The sequence below is a fragment of the Homo sapiens genome, chromosome 6, assembly GCF_000001405.40.
Source record: "Homo sapiens chromosome 6, GRCh38.p14 Primary Assembly".
NCBI lineage: Eukaryota > Metazoa > Chordata > Mammalia > Primates > Hominidae > Homo > Homo sapiens.
This window is the reverse complement of record NC_000006.12, coordinates 40386985-40408582: the sequence shown is the minus strand read 5'-3', so window position 1 is coordinate 40408582 and position 21598 is coordinate 40386985. Positions and strand designations below refer to the sequence as shown.

Here is a 21598-nt window from a genome sequence, read left to right as displayed (position 1 = left end):
TGAACCACCATGCTGGATCTTCAGCGACTTCTTCCCAGGCATTTGATTCCTGCCAACTTCTGCTCTGGAGTTGCTCTACTCTTCATCCATTGGGGCACATGTAGAATAGCATCAGATGGCCAGGGGTTCTTTCTACCCCTCCCCAAATGCTGTCTCCTTCCCCAGATCTGACAGGACCACCCAAGCCCATAGACAATAGAACCAAGAAGCCCCTGCCGAGGGTGACTGCCACCCATATGTTCATCAGCCTCCCTGAAGTGACACATCTATTTCCAACAACCTCTCCTCTTCCTGCTCACCTGGTAGAATTGGCTTTGCGATATTTTTTGCCATTTTTTATTGTAAAATATACATAACATTTACCATTTTAACCACATTTGAGTGGACAGTTCACTGGCACTAAATACATCATATTGTTGTGCAGTCACTGTCACCATCCATTTTAGAACTTTTTCATCACCCCAAACTAAAACTCTGTACTCACTAAATAAGAATTCCCCATTCCTCACTCCCCCCAGCACCCAGCAACCACCCTGCTACTTTCTGTCTCTATGAATTTGACTACTCCAGGTCTTTTATATAAGTGGAATCACACAAGATTCACACAAGTTGTAGCATGTACCAGAATTTCATATAAAATGCTTCACAAATTTGCTGTCATCTTTCTGCAGGGGCCATGCTGACCTCTGCATGGTTCCAGTTTTAATGGAAATGCTGCCAAAGAGAGCATACGATAGCATTTTCAAGGAGGCTGGTGCTGGCTTTGCTCCGGGTGATGCCCCCATGAAATTATGGATCTGCCAACTGGCGTGAATGGTCCGACCAGGTTCATCATTAGGTGGTGTTTACTTGGTGTCTGCTGGCTGTTCTAGCGTGACTTGGGCACAGCTGGTGGGGAATCTTCACTTTGCACACGTCTGTGTTTATAACAAGGTATAATTGATCTGACACCTTCTGCATTTTTTCTCCAAGTGATGAGTTGTTGTTGAACAAGCTCTTCTCAGCTCCTCCAGGAGATAAATGACAAGTAGCATCATTGTAGTCATCGCCATTGTGGTACCAGATGACCCAGGAAGGGAGCAGACATGTTTATTCCTATTGTACTTGATTTCTCACACTCACCACAGAAGGCTAGTATTACTCTCCCATTTCACATGTGAGGAAACAGAGGTTCAGAGAGAGGAAAGTCACATGGTCTACAGTCACACATCTGGTCGGGGGCAGAACTAGCCTTCAAAGAGAGATTTCTGTCTGAGTCCAAAGCCTACACTCTTTCCTCTAAGATATGCCAACCCAGTCCCTGGGGGCTGGAAGCTAAGGACAATTAAATACAATTAAATAGAGAAGACTTCTATATCTGTGGAGACCTGAATGAGGACACACACACATACACAGAATGAGAGAGAGAGAGGCAGGCCTTACATGGGCTCAAGAGCTTGCCTGGGTTGGCTGAGCCTGCAGTCGTGGGGACACTGTTTAAGCAATGTGGCTTAACAGCAGTCCTGGGAAAGCACAGGGCCTCTCCATTGACAGTCTGCTCAGTGTGACCACCAGTGGGATGTGGCTTCTAGAGAATCCAGTGTACTTCCAGGGAGGGGGTGGTGTCCACAAGTGTGATGTCTGACTGGGGCAATGTAGGGTCTGACTACTGAGAACCCCCAAAGAGAAGGGCCAAAGACAAACTGACATGTGATCAGGTATGATCAGACGGGGCAGCCTGCCAGCAAACTAGAAACTGTGCTATGAGGAAATGGTTGGAGGAAATGGAAATGTGAATTCTTCAAGGTGGGATGAGAGAGTGGCCTCACAATATGGGAAGCAACAACATGTCCAAAAGAAAGAAACAGGCTTGTTCTGGGCAGCTGTGGGGTTGCATTGGGCTGGTGGGAGGAAGACGCAGTCTGTCAGACCACGGCCCCCATGAGTCACTCAGAGTTGTCCAGAGCTAGGATGACTGCCTGGCATGTCCTGGAAGTGTGTGAGCAGAGGGTGCTGACAGCCAGGTGGGCCTGCTATGGAGGCGCTGATGAGCAGGGGGGCTCTCAGGGTCCTTCTCAACCTGGAGTTCCTAGGATCTGTGCATGGTGAGGGCAGAGGAGAACTGGGAAGAGCAAGCAGACACCTTGGTTAGTCAGCAAGAGAAGTGCCTGGATCAGCGGGCAGGCTGGCCCCAGTGGCCTGCACCAAAACAGACTGCCAGACCTCAGACGGCTGGCCTGCAGAGCTGGCTGTGCACCTGATCCATGAGCCAGTATCCAGCCTCAGGCCTGGATTCACTTCTCTGTCCTCAGTCACAAACACTAGCACAAATTAAGCACTCACTAGGGACAAGGCACTGTTCAAATCACAGAGATTCGCTCATTTCATCCTCGTAGCAACCCTGCGACGGGGCTGTATCATCTGCTCCCTCTTACAGGGTGGTTACGTGGCTTGCCCAAGGTCACACTGCTGGTCAGTGACAGCACTGGGGCTTGAACCCCGGTGGTGCAGTGCCAGTGCCTGGATTCCCACCTCCTGGCTTTATCCCCTCCATGAAGGAGCCCCATGGAGGAGGGCGACGCTCCCTCCCTGACACTGTTGCCTCCACCAAACACTTGGGCTGCGACTTTCCCAAGTCCTTGCCTGGCAGCTGCATCTGCCATGCCTCCCAAGTCAGGGAGCAAACACAGGGCCTCCCAACGAGTGATCCTCACCTGTCACCAGGTAAGGCCTAACGCTGGGGAGATGAGCACAGAGGCAGCCTGCTGGGGCTCAGCTTTCTTTGGCCTAATTTCCTGTCATCTCTGCCATTGCTCAGCCAGGCCTTTACTAACACTTCCTCCACATGAACTCTGAACAATAGTTTCATGGGGGGTTGGAGGGGGGACCCATTCTGCTGCAAGTATTGAAGCCAAGATGCCTCCCTGCCAGCCCAGCCAGGGTCAGGCACTGCCCGAGTCTCCTAGTTTCTAGCCTGCATGAGGTTTGCCAGCCACAAATCCCTGAGGCCTGGATTTCCACCATCAGAGAGGCATTTCCTTGGGGTTACATGGGTTAAGCATGGCCCACTCCTTTATGTAACAGACCCTCATGCGGGGCTTACTCTGTGCCGGGCACTGACCTAGGTACTTTATGAATCATGACTCCTTGAATCCTCATAACAACCCTATAAGGCAGAGATTATGAACGCCCCATTTTACAGAAAGGGGATATTTCTAGGAAGCAAACACAGAGAGATTAAGAAACTTGCCCAAGATAAGGTATTACAGCTGGTATGTGCAAAACCAGGATTGGAACCCTACAGTCTGACTCCAGAGCCTGTGTGCATATCCACTGTACCCTGCTGCCTCTTCAGCTTCTCTTGCTAATGGCAGGTATTCCGATGACATCTATCATTGTTATTGGATCTATGAGGGATTTTTCTCAATAGAAATGTGTCAGATGTGTAATGGGTAGCTGGGTAGCTTGAACATGAGAGGCAGAAAAGCAGGAACCAGAATATCGAAACAAAGGACCAGAGGGGGCCCAAAGACACAGGCTGGCTAAGGGCTGGCCCTATTTGAGGACTGTGGGGAAGGCAAGGCAGCTTTGCCAGTGGGGCCAAGCCTTGGGAAGGGGCTGGGGCACAGGCTGAGTATGGGAGGCAGAGAGAACACTCCAGTGGGCAGATAAGCTTGAGCTAGGCCTGAGAGAATCCCAGAGAGGGCACGCTGAACCCAGAGGTCTTAGGAACCATGGAGAACTGGAAGAGTCATAAAGGAGGGATGAAGTTGTCCAGAGCCTCAGAGAGAATGGGGAACTGCTCAGAGGTCTAGATCAAAGCCTCCAAGACAAATTCATCCCTTGTGTGAACTCCCCAAAGCTGGACAACATCACCTGGACTGGCCCACCTGTTTGGTGCATGAGGGCTCACATAGAAAATGACAGTGTTAATACCACTTGCTGGGTACATGGATAGGGCTGCATAGCATGTTCTAGAACAGCACCATCCAATAGCACTGCCTGTGTTGATGGAAATGTCACACAGTGGCACTGTCCAATCCAGTAGCCACTAGCCCCATGTGACTACTGAGCACTTGAAATCTGGCTGTTATGACTCAGAAACTAAATTTTTAATTCTAATCAATTATTATTAATTTGAAGTTAAATTTGAATGACCACATGCAGCTACTATATTGGGCAGTGCAGTGTAGAATATTCATTTCATTTGCAAGTTCAACCAATGTTTTCAACGGTCTGTGCTGTGCCAAGTATCATTCTAGGTGTTGGGAAACTATCAGTGAACAAAACAGGCAAAAAAAAACAAAAAACAAAAAACAAAAAAACAACCCAAACAAACTCTGACCTCAGGGAGCTGACATTCTAGTAGACAGAGAGAAAGACAATTAACAGTAATCATAATAAATCAATGATATTGTCTGTTGGGCAATAAAAATGCATTGGGGAAAAATGGAGTGGAGTAACAAGCCTGGGGAAGCCCGCAGTGTTGATAACGTGATCTGGGATGGCCTCGCTGAGAACGTGATATTGGAACAGGGACCTGAAAGAGGCAAAGCAGCTAGCATATAAATATCTGGAGGAAGAGCATCCAGGCAGAGGGAACAGCCAGTGCAAAAGTCCTGAGGCAGGATTCCCCTTGGCAGATTTGAGAAGCAGTGGGGAGCCCAGATTGTAGAGTAAGAATGGGGAGTAGAAGGAGACAAAACCCAAGAGGTGAGGGGCAGATTGTCTGGGGCCTGTGAGCCATGTGAGGACTTTGACTACATGAGGTGGGCTTCACTGGGAGCAGGAGCAGGGTTGAGCAGAGAAAGACAGGATGTGACCTGGGTTTTAACAGGATCCCTCTGACCACTTGCAGAGAAGAGGCTGGGGGATGGGAGCAAGGAAGGACACCCAGACCCAGAGGCCAACTCAACAGGGGCTGATGCCAACCCTGCCTGCTGTCTTGCGGGCTGTGGAAGTGGATGTCCGGGTACACCTGAGGATTGAGGCAATGATTGGGGTGCTTTGTCTCAGAGCCTCAATCATATTGAAAGGAAAGTGGCCCCTTCACTCACTGAGAGTCTAAAGTAACTGCCAGTAAGGCAGGGGTGCCTCAGGGCATTTGTGGAAGCTCCATATTCTCAGGAGCCACAAGGGCAGAAGAACAGGGACAGAGGCCAGCCCCCAACCCCAGGCCTCTGGTCCCTGGCCCCAACTGGAAGATCAGTCTTCTGATCCTTGGAGCCCTCACTGAATCCCACCAGCTCCATGATCGTCCCACTCTAAAGAGCAGACATGTGCTTCCCCCATTATCACTCAGGCCCTGGTGCTTAGGGAAGGCCAGCATTTGGCACTAGTCACCAGTAGGCTGTACAACTTGTACTGGTAATTCTGGTAATTCTAACTACTCTGATCTCTAGGCCAGAAACAGCAAGTATGAGACACCGGCTCCAGAGGACTCTGTCCCACTGAGTTTAAACACAGCCTCAGAATCCTTAACATTAGCACCCAGCAGCCAATCTCAGAGTTGGAACAAAGAGTGAACATACTTGCAAGAACCTGGCTCCTATCTACTACCTTGGTGACTTCATTTCCTACTACTCTCCCTTTCCATCTCTCTGTTCCAGCCTCACCGTCCTCCTCACTGTTTCTACCTCAAGGCCTTTGCACTGGCACCTCCTTCCTGCCTGGAAACTCTGCCCATGGATATCCACGTGGTTCCCTCACTTCCCTCAGAATTCCCAGGAGCATGCGTCCCGAAGTAGAGAGATTGTCCTCCTCATTCACTGGAGTCCCATTTCTGGCTCTAATTAGCTATGTGAGCCCAGGGCAGTTCAGTTAACCACTGCCTCTAAAACAGGTAGCACAATTATTAGATGTACTTCCCGGGGTTATCATGAACATGAATTGAGGAAATGTGAAAGTGCTGGGTTCAATCTTGGCTGAGCACAATCCTCCTCTCTGTGAGAGCTTAGTCAAGTCACCTAATGTCTTGGAACCTTGATTTTCTCATCCATAATGATAATAAGACTAGTACCTCCCTCACAGGATTTCCCAAGGTTAAATTAACTAATACATGGAAAATATTCAGAACAGTGTTTGACACATAGTAAGTGCTCAATAAATGTTAGCTATCATTGTAAAGTAAGGCATGTTATTTTTTTCTTTTTAAATTGCTGGCAAACAGTTGGCCTGACTCCAAGACTTGCCTCCTGCTAAATCCTGATTCTGCTCAATTCAATTCAATGTAATACAGCATAGGGAAGATCATGCTCCGTGGCCTGGCAGACCTGGCTCAGCCACTTTCCAGCTGTGTGAGCTTGAGCAGGGGTTCTATCTGCCTGAGCCTTAGTTTCTTCATCTGTAATAAGGGGATAATTATTCCTACCTCATACAGTCAGCATGCAGAATCAAAGAGACTCTGCCTGTCAAGTTCCTGGCACGTAGTAAGTACTCAATAAATTGTATGCAGGATGGAACAACACTCATCTCCTCTACTCCCTTGCAGCTCATGCATGAAAGCAAACAGGTCCCTTTGGGGCTCGCAGGAAGAGAGAGAATCTGGGAGTAAGGGCTGCTTGGCTTGGTTTAATGAGGCCATGTCATGTAGTCTGAGATCTCAAGGCTAACTAGAGAGGGTGGCAAGCCAGTGGTTCTGTGAAGAGCCAGTAATGAGGACACAGAGAGCCAGGGGTCGGGTAGGGGAAGCCTGATGTGGCCCTTCCAAATTAGTGCTGAGGCTCAACAGGCAGCCATGGTGCATCACTGATGGAGGGAGGAGAGGACAGAGCACCTAGAAAGGCGTGGTGCTAGTGGGGCAGAGGGGAGGCTGGAGGCTGGAGGAATTATGCAGATACAAGAGGTGGTATTTGTTGACAACTCCAGGAAGGCAAGGATTTCTTGTATAGACACCAGCACCAATGTCTTCCTCTTACACAAACACACATTCACCCTGTCTCTCACTCACATACCTACTAAATAGCAAATACTTCAGGCTCACTTCATCTAACCTGTGGGTGTCTGTTAGTCAGGGGAGGCAACTGCTGTTGCAAATAATTGCCATAATGTAAAGCCTCAAGCAGAATCAAATTTGATTTCTCACTTTCCTAACAGTCCAGAGCGGTGTGCCAGGTTATCAGGAGACCTTCCTTATGGGAGACTTAGGTACCCAGTACGTACCTCCCTCTAGGCCTTGTCATCCTGCCCAAGGGTCCAGCTGGCAGAAGGAAAAGGGAGTGTGGGGAAGGCACCCGAGCTACTGAAGACCTGGCCCAGAGATGGCACAGATCATCTGGCACAGATGACATCCTCCACATCCCTTTAGCCAGAAAGGGTCACATGGGCACACTAGCTGCAAGGGAGCCTGGAGAGTGTAGCCTAGACTGGAAGCCATGAGAGAGGGGGAGAGTGGGGTTTGGTAGTCATTCCACAGGCTCTTCCTGGAGGCTGAGGACCAGGTGGAAACTCCCACTCCATTCCCATTCCTATTCCTGAGGCCCAAATGCCTTTTCTGGGGGGTAAACTCTGTTCCATTAGAAAAGAGGAGCCTCAGCCTACAGAGAGAGGTCACATAGGAAGTCACCTCAGAAGTTTCAGAGGATGTGGGAGCCTCTGGGGGAGGTGGGGTTAGGGGGTTGGTTGAAAGAGGGGCAGAACAATGACTAACATTGCCTAGGACCAGGACCCCTTATTGCCACATACATGTAAACACCTACACTCTGGCACACACTCACAAATACCCACACATTCAGCTGACAAATGATACTTCTTAGACACACATCTTCTCACACACAGGCATACACACAATCACATACCCCAAACACATATGTATATGCACATCCATGAAAGGTTTTCAGGAGCCCTTGCAGTAAGCCTCAAGGATATAGAAAAACACCTCTCCAGGCCGGGTGTGTTGGCTCATGCCTGTAATCCCAGCACTTTAGGAGGCCAAGGTGGGTGGATCACTTGAGGTCAGGAGTTTGAGATCAGCCTGGCCAACATGGTGAAACCCCATCTCTACTAAAAATACAAAAATTAGCCAGGTATGGTGGTGCATGCCTGTAATCTCAGCTACTCAGGAGGCTGAGGCAGGAGAATTGCTTGAGCCTGGGAGGCAGAAGCTGCAGTGATCCAAGATCATGCCATTGCACTCCAGCCTGGGTGACAGACTAAGACTCCATCTCAAAAAAAAAAAAAAAAAGGAAAAGTACCTCTCCAGAAAGATGTCCTCAGAACCAGCCAGTGTCTGAGAGTCACCATTAACTAACCCTTGAATATTAGATAAGAATCCCTCACATATGTTTAGGCCCTAACATTTTGCAAAGCACTCTTGCACTCACTGCCTAACCGTAGGGTAAATATTTACTCAGCATTGACTCTAGGCCAGACATCGTGATCAGCAGTAGAAATACAAAGAGGAATAAGACACAGTTCCAGTCCTCAAGGGAAAGGTGTACATGAACGACCCCCAGGGCTTTAACAGGGGACTGTAAGAGTGGTTGTGGGAGGAGGGAGAGAAGAGATAGCTCTGATGAGGTCAGAGGTAATTTATGAGTCAGGCCTTAAAAGATGAGGTCACCCAGTGGAGAAAGATATGATGCTAAGGAAGAGGGACCACTGTGTGCAATGGGATCAAGTTGGCTTACTGGGGGAGTGATGAGTGATTCCGAGAAGCTGGTAAATTGTTTCCTAAAGCTGGAGTTTCACTAGATACAGCCAAGATGTGCTGCTGCTGACATGAAGTGATGATCATCTTTTCCCAAAGTGCAAGGAAATAAGTTAATAAATAGAATGTTTTCAACAATGTAAGGGTTATCTCCTTGTGTCATTCAGGATTCAGTCAGAAATAAAAGAACATTTTAGGTCTTTTGAAAGAGGGAATTCAGGCCAGGAGCCGTGGCTCACGCCTGTAATCCCAGCACTTTAGGAAGCCAAGGCGGGCGGATGGTCTGAGCTCAAGAGTTCAAGACCACCGTGGGCAACATGGTGAAACCCCGCCTCTACTCAAATACAAAAAATTAGCCAGGCTTGGTGGCGTGCACCTGTAGGCCCAGTTACTCAGGAGGCTGAAGCACAAGAATCGCTTGAGCCCCTGAGGCGGAGGTTGCAGTGAGCCGAGAGATCGCACCACTGTACTTCAGCTTGGGCTACAGAGTGAGACTGTGTCTCAAAAAAAAAAAAAAAGAAAAAAAAAAAGAAAAGAAAAAGAAAGAGAATTCAGTACAGGGTTTGGATTTCAGGGATGATGGAGCTGCTCAGAGGTCAACAACAGGTGGGGGCAGTGAGCATGGGAGCAGTGGGTGGGGGGCAGGACAGTGAGGCGCTATAGAGATTAGCAACAGCTGGGAGCCACCGCCACCCACCCATCCCCATCCAAGGCTGGAAGGACACAGGAGGAGATGGCATGACCAGTGACTAAGATCCTAATGTGTCTAGCAGGAGCTGGAACCCTGGCAGCTGGAATCACAGAGGAGATTCACTGACAGGGTGAAACCACTTGGAGACGAAAAAATAGAAGAGATACCTGGCTTCTCCCCTCTTCCGGCCCTCCAGTCTCTCTCTCCAGTGCCTCCATTGGCCAACTCCAACTGGCAGCCTGAGGGCTCAGAAACCTGGGAACAGACAAGGGAGCCTGGGAAATGTAGTTCCCCACAGGCAGAGGCAAGCAGGTGAAATGTGGAGAACAGATTCGAGAGCCCACAGTAGAATAACAGTATGTGCCTGTGATTTCATAGACCTCTAGTATCAGCCGTAGATTTGTGTGCTAGTGTTAAGCTGAATGAACAATGCCAAAATAATATTAACAGAAAAGGAAAGAAAAAGAAAAACAATCCAGAGGCAGCCACTTAGGCTTGTTTTGTGTTTCTTTGGTAAGTGCTTGGGGTTGCAGTTTCAAATTGTCTTTTAGAGTGTGTGAGCTTAATTAAATTTAACGCACTGGAGCAGTTTAACTTAAAATAGCAATTCATGTTTTCTGCTAACAGAGATGTTGGTAGTTTACATGATGGAAAGAAATCTCTCAGGATTTCAGGGACGTGTTTTTCATGGAGGTGCCCATGACTGACCTGATGGTTGAGCCATTTATTATCTATTGTCCCTCGGGATCCACTCTCCCCTCCTCCGCCTTGCCCTGCACTCTGGAAGCCTGACCTGCATGTGCCTGTGAACTCTGGCTTTCGGTTTGGTTCAGCCATGCAGAGCAGCAGCAGAAGGTCGGCGGCAGAGAAGAGTGAGGTCCGGCTACTTCTTTGTCCGGTGCCCACCCTGTAAGGTTGCCCCTGGCAGCTTCTGTTTCTCAACCAAATTCTCTAAACCAATGTGCCTCAATGGAGGGTGACTTTGCCCCCAGAGGACATTGGGCAATGCTTGGAGACATTTTAGCTTGTCACACTGTGGGTGTGTTCTGGCATCTGGTGGGTGGAGCCCAGGGGTGTCCTGGGATTGTCCTCCTACGATGCAGAGGTCAGCCCCACACAGCCAAGACATAGTCAGCCAAAGTGTCAACAGTGGTGAGGCTGAGAAAGCCTGCACTAGCCCAGGGCTCCTCAAGCTATTCATTGTGAAGGAGCAGCTTCGATTTTCCCCACTCTGTTGCAGGCCAGTGTTTTTGTAAGACTAGAACTAAGTTACCAGAAATAATCATCATGCACTTCAATGTGACAACCAATGCCAAATTGCTATAAAGCCTTAATTCCTACTCTTGACTTCTGTAGTGTCTGATCATGGAACAGGAACAAACAGTCCATGGGCCGGCATCCATCTGTGAGCCACACTACAAGCAGCACTGGCCTACATGCTTCTCTCTCCTGGGGATGAGGCAGACGTAACACCTCGGCTCTTGGCTGCTATTAGCTCTGGGTTCTTGCACATTCCCTTGTGATACCCTCTTGCCTCTTTACAACTAGCCCCTTGATAAATAAGATCTTTAATTATCCTTCTAGGAAGTGCCATCTGCCCATTCAGGGCCCGGCTGATTCTGCAGTGTTTTCCTACCTGGGCAAGTTTTTGAGAATGTGGGCAGCGTCAGAGGCTGTGTGGGTAGAAGGACAACAATGTGACAGCAGCCTGGTTTGGGAGCCCAGCTAAGGAGTTTGCACTGTCTCTTGTAGACCATAGTTAGTACTTGAAGCATCTCAGTGGGCAGGCGACACAGCCAGAGTTGTGTTTTAGGTGGAGCACTAGAGATGGTGTGGTGCTGAGAATGCACTTTCAGGGAGCAAAATTTGTGGCAGAGAGCCTGACTGGAGGCTGCTGAGTCCATCCTGACCAGAAATGGAGAGGCCTAAGCTAACACTGTATGTGGAGTTGGAAGGCAGAGGGTGTTCAGAAGGTAGAATCTACCAGCCAGAGTGATGGGTTGTGAGCAGGAGTGAAGGGGGAAATCCAGGCTCCCCAGCTATAGCTTGGAGGATCAGTGGATGGTTTTGTAGGGTTGGATGATGAGGTGGACAGGGGGACACAGGTCAGAGATGAATTCTATATCTTTCACTAGAGTGCCCATTTCACGTGGCTTTCTCATGCAATTTGTCTGTTGGTTGCCTGGAGGCAGAAGTGTCTTGCTTTTAAGAAGTGTGGGCTGTGGGATGCAATGGACCTGTTCTGGTCTCAGCCCCATCATTCCCCCAAGGGAAAGTTCAAACTGTTCAGCTTCCTCCTTCTCTAAACCGGAATAACTTCCTCAGAGGGTTGTAGGAGATTAAATGAGATAATGCGTGTAAACTTGCCAGGACAAGTAAGTGCTAGGCAAATACTGGTTATTATTGTTATTAGAAAAGGCAAACTTGACCTTGCCAGCCAGGGCTGTTTTGAGTTAGCTGGCTCTGGCTCTCCTTAAGTCACCCCAACTCCTCCTACCGCCAACACACACACACAGACGTACACACGCACACATACACACACACACACACACACACACACACACACACACACACACACAGAGCAGAGGAATCAGGAGCCGCCTTCCGCCTTTCTGCTCTTCATCCTAGCAGGCTTTTCCTGCTGGCCTTGTTTCTGATGGGCCAATTACAGTGCAAAACTGTTCCAGACCTGACCTTTCATCCCGGTTCCAGTGGCCCGCCAAGAATCAGCCTTGCCTTGTTACACCTCCATCAGCAGCACAGCCCAACCGCAGCTTCATCACATTAGGATGTGGCTTCATCACATTATGATTTTCTCTGAGTTGGGGAGCAAAGGTGAGTTGGGGAGACCAGGCAGGGTTCCTCACAAAGTTGCCCAGGAAGGGCAGGAAGACGGGGCAGTGTCCGAGAGGCAGCATGACCCAGGGGTCAGGTGCGGAGGCCCTGGAGCCAAACTGCCTGATTTAAATCCCAGCTCTGCCAACTTACTAGCTGGGCCTCCTTGGGCAGGTAGCTTAACCTTTCTGTGCCTCAGTTTCTTATCTGTTAAGTGGAAATGAGAATAACAATAATGGCCTCCCAACAATGTTAGGGAGTATTAAAAGAGTCTTAATCCCCTTAAATATCTCACAATAGTGCCTGGCACAGAGTAAGCCCTCATGTTAGCTGTTCTTCTTATTTTGTTGCTATTAGTAGTAGTACTAATAGTAGTACTAGTGTGATCTGCTTCCCAGGAGAAGGTGGCTAAATATTGAGAAGATTTCTGGGCTCGTGGTACATCTTTGGTGACCTGGGGTGGCTGTGTTCAATGCAATCATGAATGTGGAAACCTATGTTACACAACAGGTATTCAGTAAACAAGGATGTCCATCCACCTCTCAAGTGGACATGCTCTTATATCACTGTGGCCCAACAAAATGGTGGAATGCCGTGATTCAGAGCAGACTGACGGTGGCCTCCCTGGGATTTAATCCCAGCTCTGCCATGTTATCTTTGCATAACACTTCTGCACCTCTGTTTCCCCATCTGAAAAATCTGGATTATGATGGCAGCTGTGTCGGGGAGTTGCGGTAGGCCTAAGTGAGTTGGCATAGGGCACTTAGAGCATGGCGCACAGTTACCAGCTGGTGTTTGCTCTTGCTGTTGTCACTGTTCTGGGTGTGCTTAGCTCCTGCCATCTCAACTTACATCATTAGCCCTGAGGGGAAAGGAACGAGGCCCTGGAGGACTCAAGTGTCCCCTGCAGCATTGGCCACACAGGGCTCCTCAGGCCCTGCCCAGCAGATGGCCTAGCAGGCTGGCATCCTGTCAGTAGAGGAGCGTGAGTCACAGCAGGCTCTAAGCTGCTCCAGGGATGAAGGTGGTTGACCAGCCACAGGCCAGGGCGAACTTTTCACTGAAATGAGGAAAAATGCTTCCATGTCTGTCACACAGTGAGGAACAAGCCCAGACCGTGGACCCAGAAGCTAGTGTTAAAGGTCTCAACTGCTGCATACTAGCAGTCCCAGCTGTGTGACCTCAGGCAGATCACTTACCCTCTCTGAGTCTCAGCCATTTCTTCTCTGTGAAATGGGAGTACTGATCACTGCCTTTACAGGACTGTCATGATGCCCAGGTGAAACTGGCTCTGAAGTCTTCAGATAGACCTGTGGGGCTGGCTGCAGGGTCCTTGCTGGATCCACCTCTCCTAACCCCTCTGGCCTCTTCTGCCCCAAACACTGTGCTAAGGGTGGGGCTGTGTATTAGTCCATTTTCACGCTGCTGATAAAGACATACACGAGACTGGATAATTTACAAAAAAAAAAAAAAAAAGGAAAAGAAAAAGTTTAAATGGACTCACAGTTCCACATGGCTGGGGAGGCCTCACAATCATGGCAAAAGGTGAAAGGCACATCTCACCTGGTGGCAGACAAGAGAAGAGAGCTTGTGCAGGGAAACTCCCCTTTATAAAACCATCAGATCTCATGAGATTTGTTCACTGTCATGAGAATAGCTTGGGAAAGACCCACCCTCATGATTTAATTACCTCCCACCAGGTCCCTCCCACAACACCTGTGAATTGTAGGAGCTACAATTCAAGATGAGATTTGGGTGGGGACACAGCCAAACCATATCAGGTGGGCCTTGGGGGCTCAATTTCCTCCAGTGTGGCTTCCCCAGCAAAAGAGCAGGTGGGCAGGTGAGGAGGGAGGCAGCAGCCACTGGGGTTGCCCACTGACGGGATGTCAATATCTGTCTGTCAGTTCCAGTCCTCTGTGCATGGATCCCAGGTGGAAGTTTTCAGGCTTCAGTATTTCATATTTGAGATCTTAATTAAGTTGCCTAGCTCCAGGTTTGAGGGGTTGATGGGAACTGATAGAGCCCTTTCATTCTCAAGTAGTAGGGAATAGGAGAATGGGAGTGGAGGAACTACCAAGAAAGCTACACAGTGGTACCTTCAGGCCTGGGTATTTCTTTGGGAGTGTTTATGGAAGTGACACAGGCATCATCTCTGGAATCAGCAGAAGGCATGATACCTCAACAAGGGTCTTGGAGTTCAGGGTGTGCATCCAGGCTTAACAAGGTCACAAGGGTCCAGAGTTCAGGGTGAGGAGTTCCAGGCAGGAGAGGACCAGCCACAATGTGGGGAGAGTGCTTCCCCATCAGACCCTCCCCAAAGGTGGAAGGAGCAGTTAAAGTCTTCTACTAAAGAAACTCTTCCCCCAGGTTTCTTGGCTGAGCCTGGCCTACTACAACTAGGACCAAGGAATCGTCCCTTTCCTCTGGGATGCAGAAGTGCCCCCCAGTCCTTAACACTGCACTGTCCCTCCACCCCTAAGCAGCAGGCCCCCTTCTCCTGCATCCAGTCCTCTTCTGCTTAGACTCCCTCTCCCTCAGTCTGCAGCAGCAAACGCTCTCCCTCCTGAGTCATGAGAAAGCCCTTTGGAGGTGTGGGTGGTGCTGGCCTCTCCAGGCAGGACCTTGTCTCTGACACAGCACAGCACCTGGTCCAGAAAGAAGGCTCAGAAAGTGTTGATGGGGATCGCCATGAATCTCAGAGGTCACAGGAGGGCTGGAGCAAGCCTCGGGGTGGGCTGGCACAGGGTCAGGGCTGACCTGACTCTCACCCTGCCCATCCCAGAGACGGAGGGAATACTTGTAGCAGGCATGAAGGAGGGAAGTAGCGGGTGTCCCTTTGTATAATTTCTGCTTCTTCACACTTTAACCTCTCTGCCTCTCTGTCTCTCCCTCTGCCTGTCCCTGTGTGTCCTCTCAACTCTGCTTGAGTCTCCCCCACTCCTCTTTCCCTCCACCTCTAAATGCCTCCCCTTTTCTCTTCTTTCAACTACCTCCTTTCTCATTCCCTTCATCTTCATACTCATTGTGTTTTTGTGTTTTTGTTTCCATATATCTGGATTTTCTCTCACCCGGTCTCTGACACATCCTCGGTCTCTGACACATCCTTGGTCTCTGACACATCCTCGGTCTATACCTCTCCCTGATGCTCCATCTCTGAATCTCCCTCTCTCACCTTCCTTTCCACCCTAACCTGTCCCTTGGTTCCCTTGTCTGGGTCTCCCTCCTCACATCTCTTTCTTCTCTATTCCCTATGCCCTATTCCTGTTGCCTGCCTGCCCCTGCCCCTCCCTCCTCCCCTCTCCTCTGTCTCTCCTTCTCTCTCCTTCCATGTCTCTTCACTCCTCTGTCCCTTTCTTTCCCTCTGCCCCATTCTCTCTGTGTCCCCGTGTCTGTCTTGGCCTCCCTCCCCTCCCCCTCCCCATCTCTGTCACTCTGTTTCTACCTCTGTCCACTCCCCATCACCCTGTCCTTCCACCCCACCACCCCTCACTATTTCTGTCCACCTCCCTCCCCAGGATGATCCCAGCCTCCAACAAGGCCTTCGTGGTCAACAACCTGGTGTCAGGGACTGGCTACGACTTGTGTGTGCTGGCCATGTGGGATGACACAGCCACGACACTCACGGCCACCAACATCGTGGGCTGCGCCCAGTTCTTCACCAAGGCTGACTACCCGCAGTGCCAGTCCATGCACAGCCAGATTCTGGGCGGCACCATGATCCTGGTCATCGGGGGCATCATCGTGGCCACGCTGCTGGTCTTCATCGTCATCCTCATGGTGCGCTACAAGGTCTGCAACCACGAGGCCCCCAGCAAGATGGCAGCGGCCGTGAGCAATGTGTACTCGCAGACCAACGGCGCCCAGCCACCGCCTCCAAGCAGCGCACCAGCCGGGGCCCCGCCGCAGGGCCCGCCGAAGGTGGTGGTGCGCAACGAGCTCCTGGACTTCACCGCCAGCCTGGCCCGCGCCAGTGACTCCTCTTCCTCCAGCTCCCTGGGCAGTGGGGAGGCTGCGGGGCTGGGACGGGCCCCCTGGAGGATCCCACCCTCCGCCCCGCGCCCCAAGCCCAGCCTTGACCGCCTGATGGGGGCCTTCGCCTCCCTGGACCTCAAGAGTCAGAGAAAGGAGGAGCTGCTGGACTCCAGGACTCCAGCCGGGAGAGGGGCTGGGACGTCGGCCCGGGGCCACCACTCGGACCGAGAGCCACTGCTGGGGCCCCCTGCGGCCCGGGCCAGGAGCCTGCTCCCCTTGCCGTTGGAGGGCAAGGCCAAACGCAGCCACTCCTTCGACATGGGGGACTTTGCTGCTGCGGCGGCGGGAGGGGTCGTGCCGGGCGGCTACAGTCCTCCTCGGAAGGTCTCGAACATCTGGACGAAGCGCAGCCTCTCTGTCAACGGCATGCTCTTGCCCTTTGAGGAGAGTGACCTGGTGGGGGCCCGGGGGACTTTTGGCAGCTCCGAATGGGTGATGGAGAGCACGGTCTAGGTGGGGGTGGGCATGCTCCCTTTCCTGTGCGCAGGGTGGGAGAAGGGGAAAGAATCTCACTGGCAAGTGTTTGTGGAGTTTCCATGGTGATGTTTACATCCAGGGACAGTTTCGTCTCCCTGTCAATGGCCTCGTGTCCCCCCCTACCCCGCAACACCCACATCACCTCCCCACCACCCGGCCGGGGTGTGCTCAGGGAATGTGGACTCGCTCAAATGCCGGACTGAGCCCTGAGTGTTTGGAAAGGCGAGACTCCGCCTTTCTAATCACAAATGTAGCCTACAAGCAAGCGGCTTTGGATTGCTTATGGGTCTAGTGTTGTTTTTATTTCTTAATTTATTTTTTTTCCATTTCCCAGACTCCTCCTCTTCATTCACACGAATAATCGAGAGTTAATCGTACATATGAATGTGTGTTCCCAGCAGCCCTGGTAGTGGGTAATTGTTGCCAATTGACAAGAGGAGGGAATTATTCTGTTTCCACACTTGTTTGGGGGAAGACTGTGGGGTTCCCTGCTCAGAGCTCTCATTACTCCCAACCACCCCACACCCGACACTGGAAGGGGTGAGTGACTGACCCCCGATACCTGACCTAGTTTCCTTTGCTTCTCAAACATGACATGCCACACCCATCACAGAAGCTTAAACCAGAAGGGTAATTTCCTGGGTTCTTACGTGTGGGGAGGGAGGAGGGCTTCATGCTATAGGGCACAAGGGATCTTAACTTCTGGAGTTGCTTTGGGCTTGTTGCCACTCTTTCTGGGAAGCTGGCATGGAAAGTCCCCCTTGAGCATGTGGCAGGCCAGGAGGGCTTCTCTTAAGGAAAGCAGCAGGGGTGGCAGAAACAGCAGTGGACTTGGAGTCCGAAGTTCTGTGTCTGGGCTCCACAGTCACATGAATAGCCAGCTGAATAACTGGGGCAAGACCCTTTTATCTGTTGGGACCTGAATTTCTCAATTTGCAAAAATACTGGGATTGTACTAGGTCTCCAGTCCCTTTCCAGTTCTATAGGCCTATTAATTATTCATGACTCTAGATGTTAGGCTTTTTTGCTTAGTGACACCAGAAGCACAAGCTGGTTACAGCAGTGCCCCTCCTTTTTACTGGACACAGAGAATTCTAGAAGCCTTGGAGGGGGAAAGCTGAATCTTTTTAGAATCATAGGCTTTTGAAGCTTGGGGAGGTGTTTGCAATCATCCCATCTTTAACCCTCCCTCTCCCTTCCAGAGAGCATAAAGGAATTGCCGAGGGTCACACAGTGAGTTCATGACCAGGTCAGGGTAGAAGCCAAGGCCACCTGCCTCCTGGCAGTGGTATTTGGGATCCATGACCCTGTCTTCACTCTGCCTAGGGCTTTTCTGTGTCCAAAGGCTGTCCCATGTTTGTTCCTTAAGAAAGTGGCTCAGGGTGGGATGGGGGGATGCCTGCTCTTGGTTTCTTGAGGAGGGTCCATCCTTGGAAATTACAGGGTGGAATGGGAGGGGTGCATAGACTCCTTTCCATCTAGGGATAACCCCTCCCTGCCAGACAGTGGCAAGAGAAGGGGAAGAGGAGATGTGCCCACGGAGAACCTGCTGTAGACAGATTGGAATGACTTTCCCCGGCATCCCTGTCCCATGTCTACTCATCAGCAATTCACTACCTCTCCCTCAGTCTCTCCAACTCATTCTTTCCTCTCCCAACTCCTTCCATAGACCTCTATTTTCTCTCTTTTGTTCTTCCTTCTTCCACTTGCCAACCACGCAGCCTACAAAGCATACAGGCAAGACCATTCTGGACCAAAAAGTTCCAATGGCCTCAGACCTGGACCCGAGCTGCTGGCCCCCAACCCCACTCTGGAACACACAAGGAGGGATTTGCAACTGTCTATGAAGAATTACCTTCGGCTCTAGTCCCAGAGCCTCCAAATCCCAGGCCTTCCTCCTTCCTCACTCTCCTCCCTCCCCTCTCTTCTCTTCATCCTTCTTTTTTTTTCTCCTTTTACTCTCTGCCTTTCCCAGTCCCTTTCTGGTCCTGACAAGGTCATTAACAGATCAGGCCAGTCCCTCCTGAGACCTCAAGTTATAATAATTTTCGAGGCCAGTCCCAGGGCTGAAGCACATCCTTTCTATGGTCACAGAAGCACCCACAGAATTGGGCAACTTGAAAGGAAATCTCTTCCACCCTTTCTCTTTTCCCTTCCTGTTTTTTCCTCTTCTCTTTTCTCCCTCCTCATCTTTCTCATTCATCCTTTCAAACTATAGCCATTGTGGAAGTGGTCTCAAACACCAGCTTTCTTTTTGGCCTTTGGATTCAGACACACAGAGGGAAGGTGGTGAACAGTGGAAGGAACCAACTGACTGTCTATTCTCATCAGCGGTTCCGAGTTCTATCGTGACATGATATGTACTTGCTCTTGTGTTTGTCATGTTTCTGACTTGGAGTTTTGGAAAGCAGCATCCCTGTGGTCAGAATATAAATGCCAATCTTCTCCTTTGCTAGAAAAAAAATGTACAGTAAAATGTACAGTTTTAAAAACAACCACTAACCACACTCCTTGGGCGGGGGAAAAAAAAAACATTCTTATGTCTGTGAATGTCTGCTGTTCATTTCTCTGGAAACTCTGGGGTTTTCTAAAGATGGCTTTGAAGTGGCATTTTCTCTTGCACCTGTGTTTGTTACTGCCTGGTGGGAGCCTGCTTCTTGCCAAGTTCATGTATAAGGTGGGGGAATCTTCTGAAATAATAGAAAATGGGATCATCTTCCCAGAGTAAAGAAAGGTAGAGAAATCTGAAGAGAAGCTTCAGGCTAAGAAAAGAACAGTCCATCCCCAGCTGTCCTGACTGTCCTACCTGACATCTCCATTCTCTGATATACCAGCCCTACCTACTTTTTCCTGGACTGTGGTCACCACAACACCTGACTACTAGGGGCATGTAGGTATCTTCTACCCGTTTTGGTTGAGCCCTGGATGGTATTTTTTTCAAAAGGGTCTTTTACTGGGAAACCATGGGAGAACAAACCAAAACCCAAACTCAAGGTATAGAAACAAACATGCTTCTGGAACACAGCTTCCCAACCTTGTCTTTTCTAGTATCTAGATCAGCACTGTCCAATAGAATAAAATGTAAGCCGCATTGTAATTTTAAATTTTCCAGTAGCCATGTTGAATCAAATATAAAGAAACAGGTGGAATTAATTTTAATCTTATATTTTAACTCAATATATCCAAAATATTATTGTAACATGTAATCACTCAAATTATTAGTAAGTTATTTTATGGTATTTTTTGGTACAAAGTTTTAGAAATCTGATTTGTATTTTACATGTATGGCATATATCAATTCAGATGAGCCCTCTTTAAAGTATTTTACATGTATGACACATATCAATTCAGACTAGCCCTCTTTAAAGTACTTGAGAGCCATATGTGGCTAGTACTGGCCACTGTACCAGACAGTGCGACTCTAGACATACAATTGACTTGAAAGCACAGCTTTTAGAAGAGGAAGGAAACTGACAATTATTGAGTACCTACAGCTTCCAGTTACTGTGCTTGTTGCTTCAAATATGTTTCTCACTGAATCATCACTAAAACCTTTTTAGGTAGATAGTATTATGCCCATATTATAAATGAAGGGACTGAAGCTCAGAGGGGTTAAGTAACTTGCCCAAGGTCACACAGTTAAGTCTGGCTGCAAAGCCTTAGTTCTTCCCATGACATCACACTGCCTTCCCATCCTTTCTTCTTCCCGTCAACCTGTTATAGATTGTATTTTATACTGACTGAATGATTCACATTTGTAGCCTAATCAGGAAACCCTTGACTAGCCTAAGATCTGCGAGAAACCTCAGAGTGTTAATTCCAGGCAAGAGCACCTTGGTGAAGCAGTTCCTTCTGACCGTACACCGGCCTTTCTGGCCCTCCTTGCCTTGAAACACGTTCCCTCCCCTGGCCAGGAAAATTCCTCAGGATTCAGACTGCACTGCCCAGCCCACCCTGTGGTCACCCCTTCTTCCCTCTTGGTGACCTCTAGGAGGTTGCTTGTTGAATGAGCCTTCCATCTCCAGTCTTGTCTGGGCTGCTCTGCCCCAGGAGCCTATAACTTCTTCCCCCTAAGATAAAAAGCCTGACAACAGCTTGCTTCAGAGACAAAACCCATCTTCTCGCCTCTTTCTATTTTAATACCCCTGTCCCTATCAGGTAAGATACCTACCCAGATCCTCTTTCCTGATATACAGAAGCCTCCAGCTCTTCAATCTTTTGCAGAGGTGAGATAGCTGATACAATATTTGCCTAGTTGATTATTAAGCTTTCTGGAAAAACAGTTTGACCCCTTTCCCCACATTCTCGATAATGACATATCCCTCAGGTTTCCCTCAAGAGAATTTTCTATTTTTTCACCATTACAGTGTTGAAATTCGAAAAGACCTCAGGAACACTTTTTTGTTAAGGGATATAATTGTCAGCCAGGCTAGGCAACAGTCACTGTCTCAGGATTCCCCCTTCCCAAATGCAAAGTAACTTTTCTTTAAAAGTCTGTGAGTATTGATTTTTCATAAGTACAGCCTGAGTACTTCTGTATCTTCTGTTCTCAGTGTGCCTGCAGTGAAGGTCTCAGGGCTTCAGCAAGCTGGGTGGGGCTTTCTCTGTTCTTACAACCAGTGGGATTTCTGCAAACTGCTGCCAGAAAAATAGACACACTTATTCAAAAGAAGAGACTATTGGCAGGCAGCACTCAAAACCTGCATACACCGTTTTAAAGATCCCACCTAGATTATCAAACCTAGCCTTTCCATGTGATGCAGTTGGCAGCAAGAAGAATTTGTTGTGACAAGGAGGCTTCTCACAGGTAAATACCTGAGGTTTCTACCTTTGCATAATAGAATCAGGCCCATCCAGGTTACTGCCCCAATATCTAAAAGGAACCCTGTCACTTTCACAGTTTAAAAATATCTATTTGTGCTTTCAGCCCTTAA

At 49.3% G+C, this 21598-nt stretch overlaps 1 protein-coding gene and 1 pseudogene across 2 annotated transcripts in view; one reads left to right on the top strand and one right to left on the bottom strand.

The window, feature by feature from the left end:
- Positions 1-16992, top strand: part of LRFN2 (leucine rich repeat and fibronectin type III domain containing 2) — a 195774-nt gene extending 178782 nt beyond the window's left edge. For both annotated transcript variants that reach the window (NM_020737.3, XM_011514762.3), the window contains exon 3: positions 15671-16992. In NM_020737.3, coding sequence (NP_065788.1) covers positions 15671-16640 — 970 coding nt within the window. In that variant the 3' untranslated portion in view covers positions 16641-16992. The remainder of the gene's footprint in view (positions 1-15670) is intronic.
- RNU6-250P (RNA, U6 small nuclear 250, pseudogene) lies at positions 628-730 on the bottom strand (annotated as a pseudogene).
- Positions 16993-21598: the final 4606 nt, after the last annotated feature.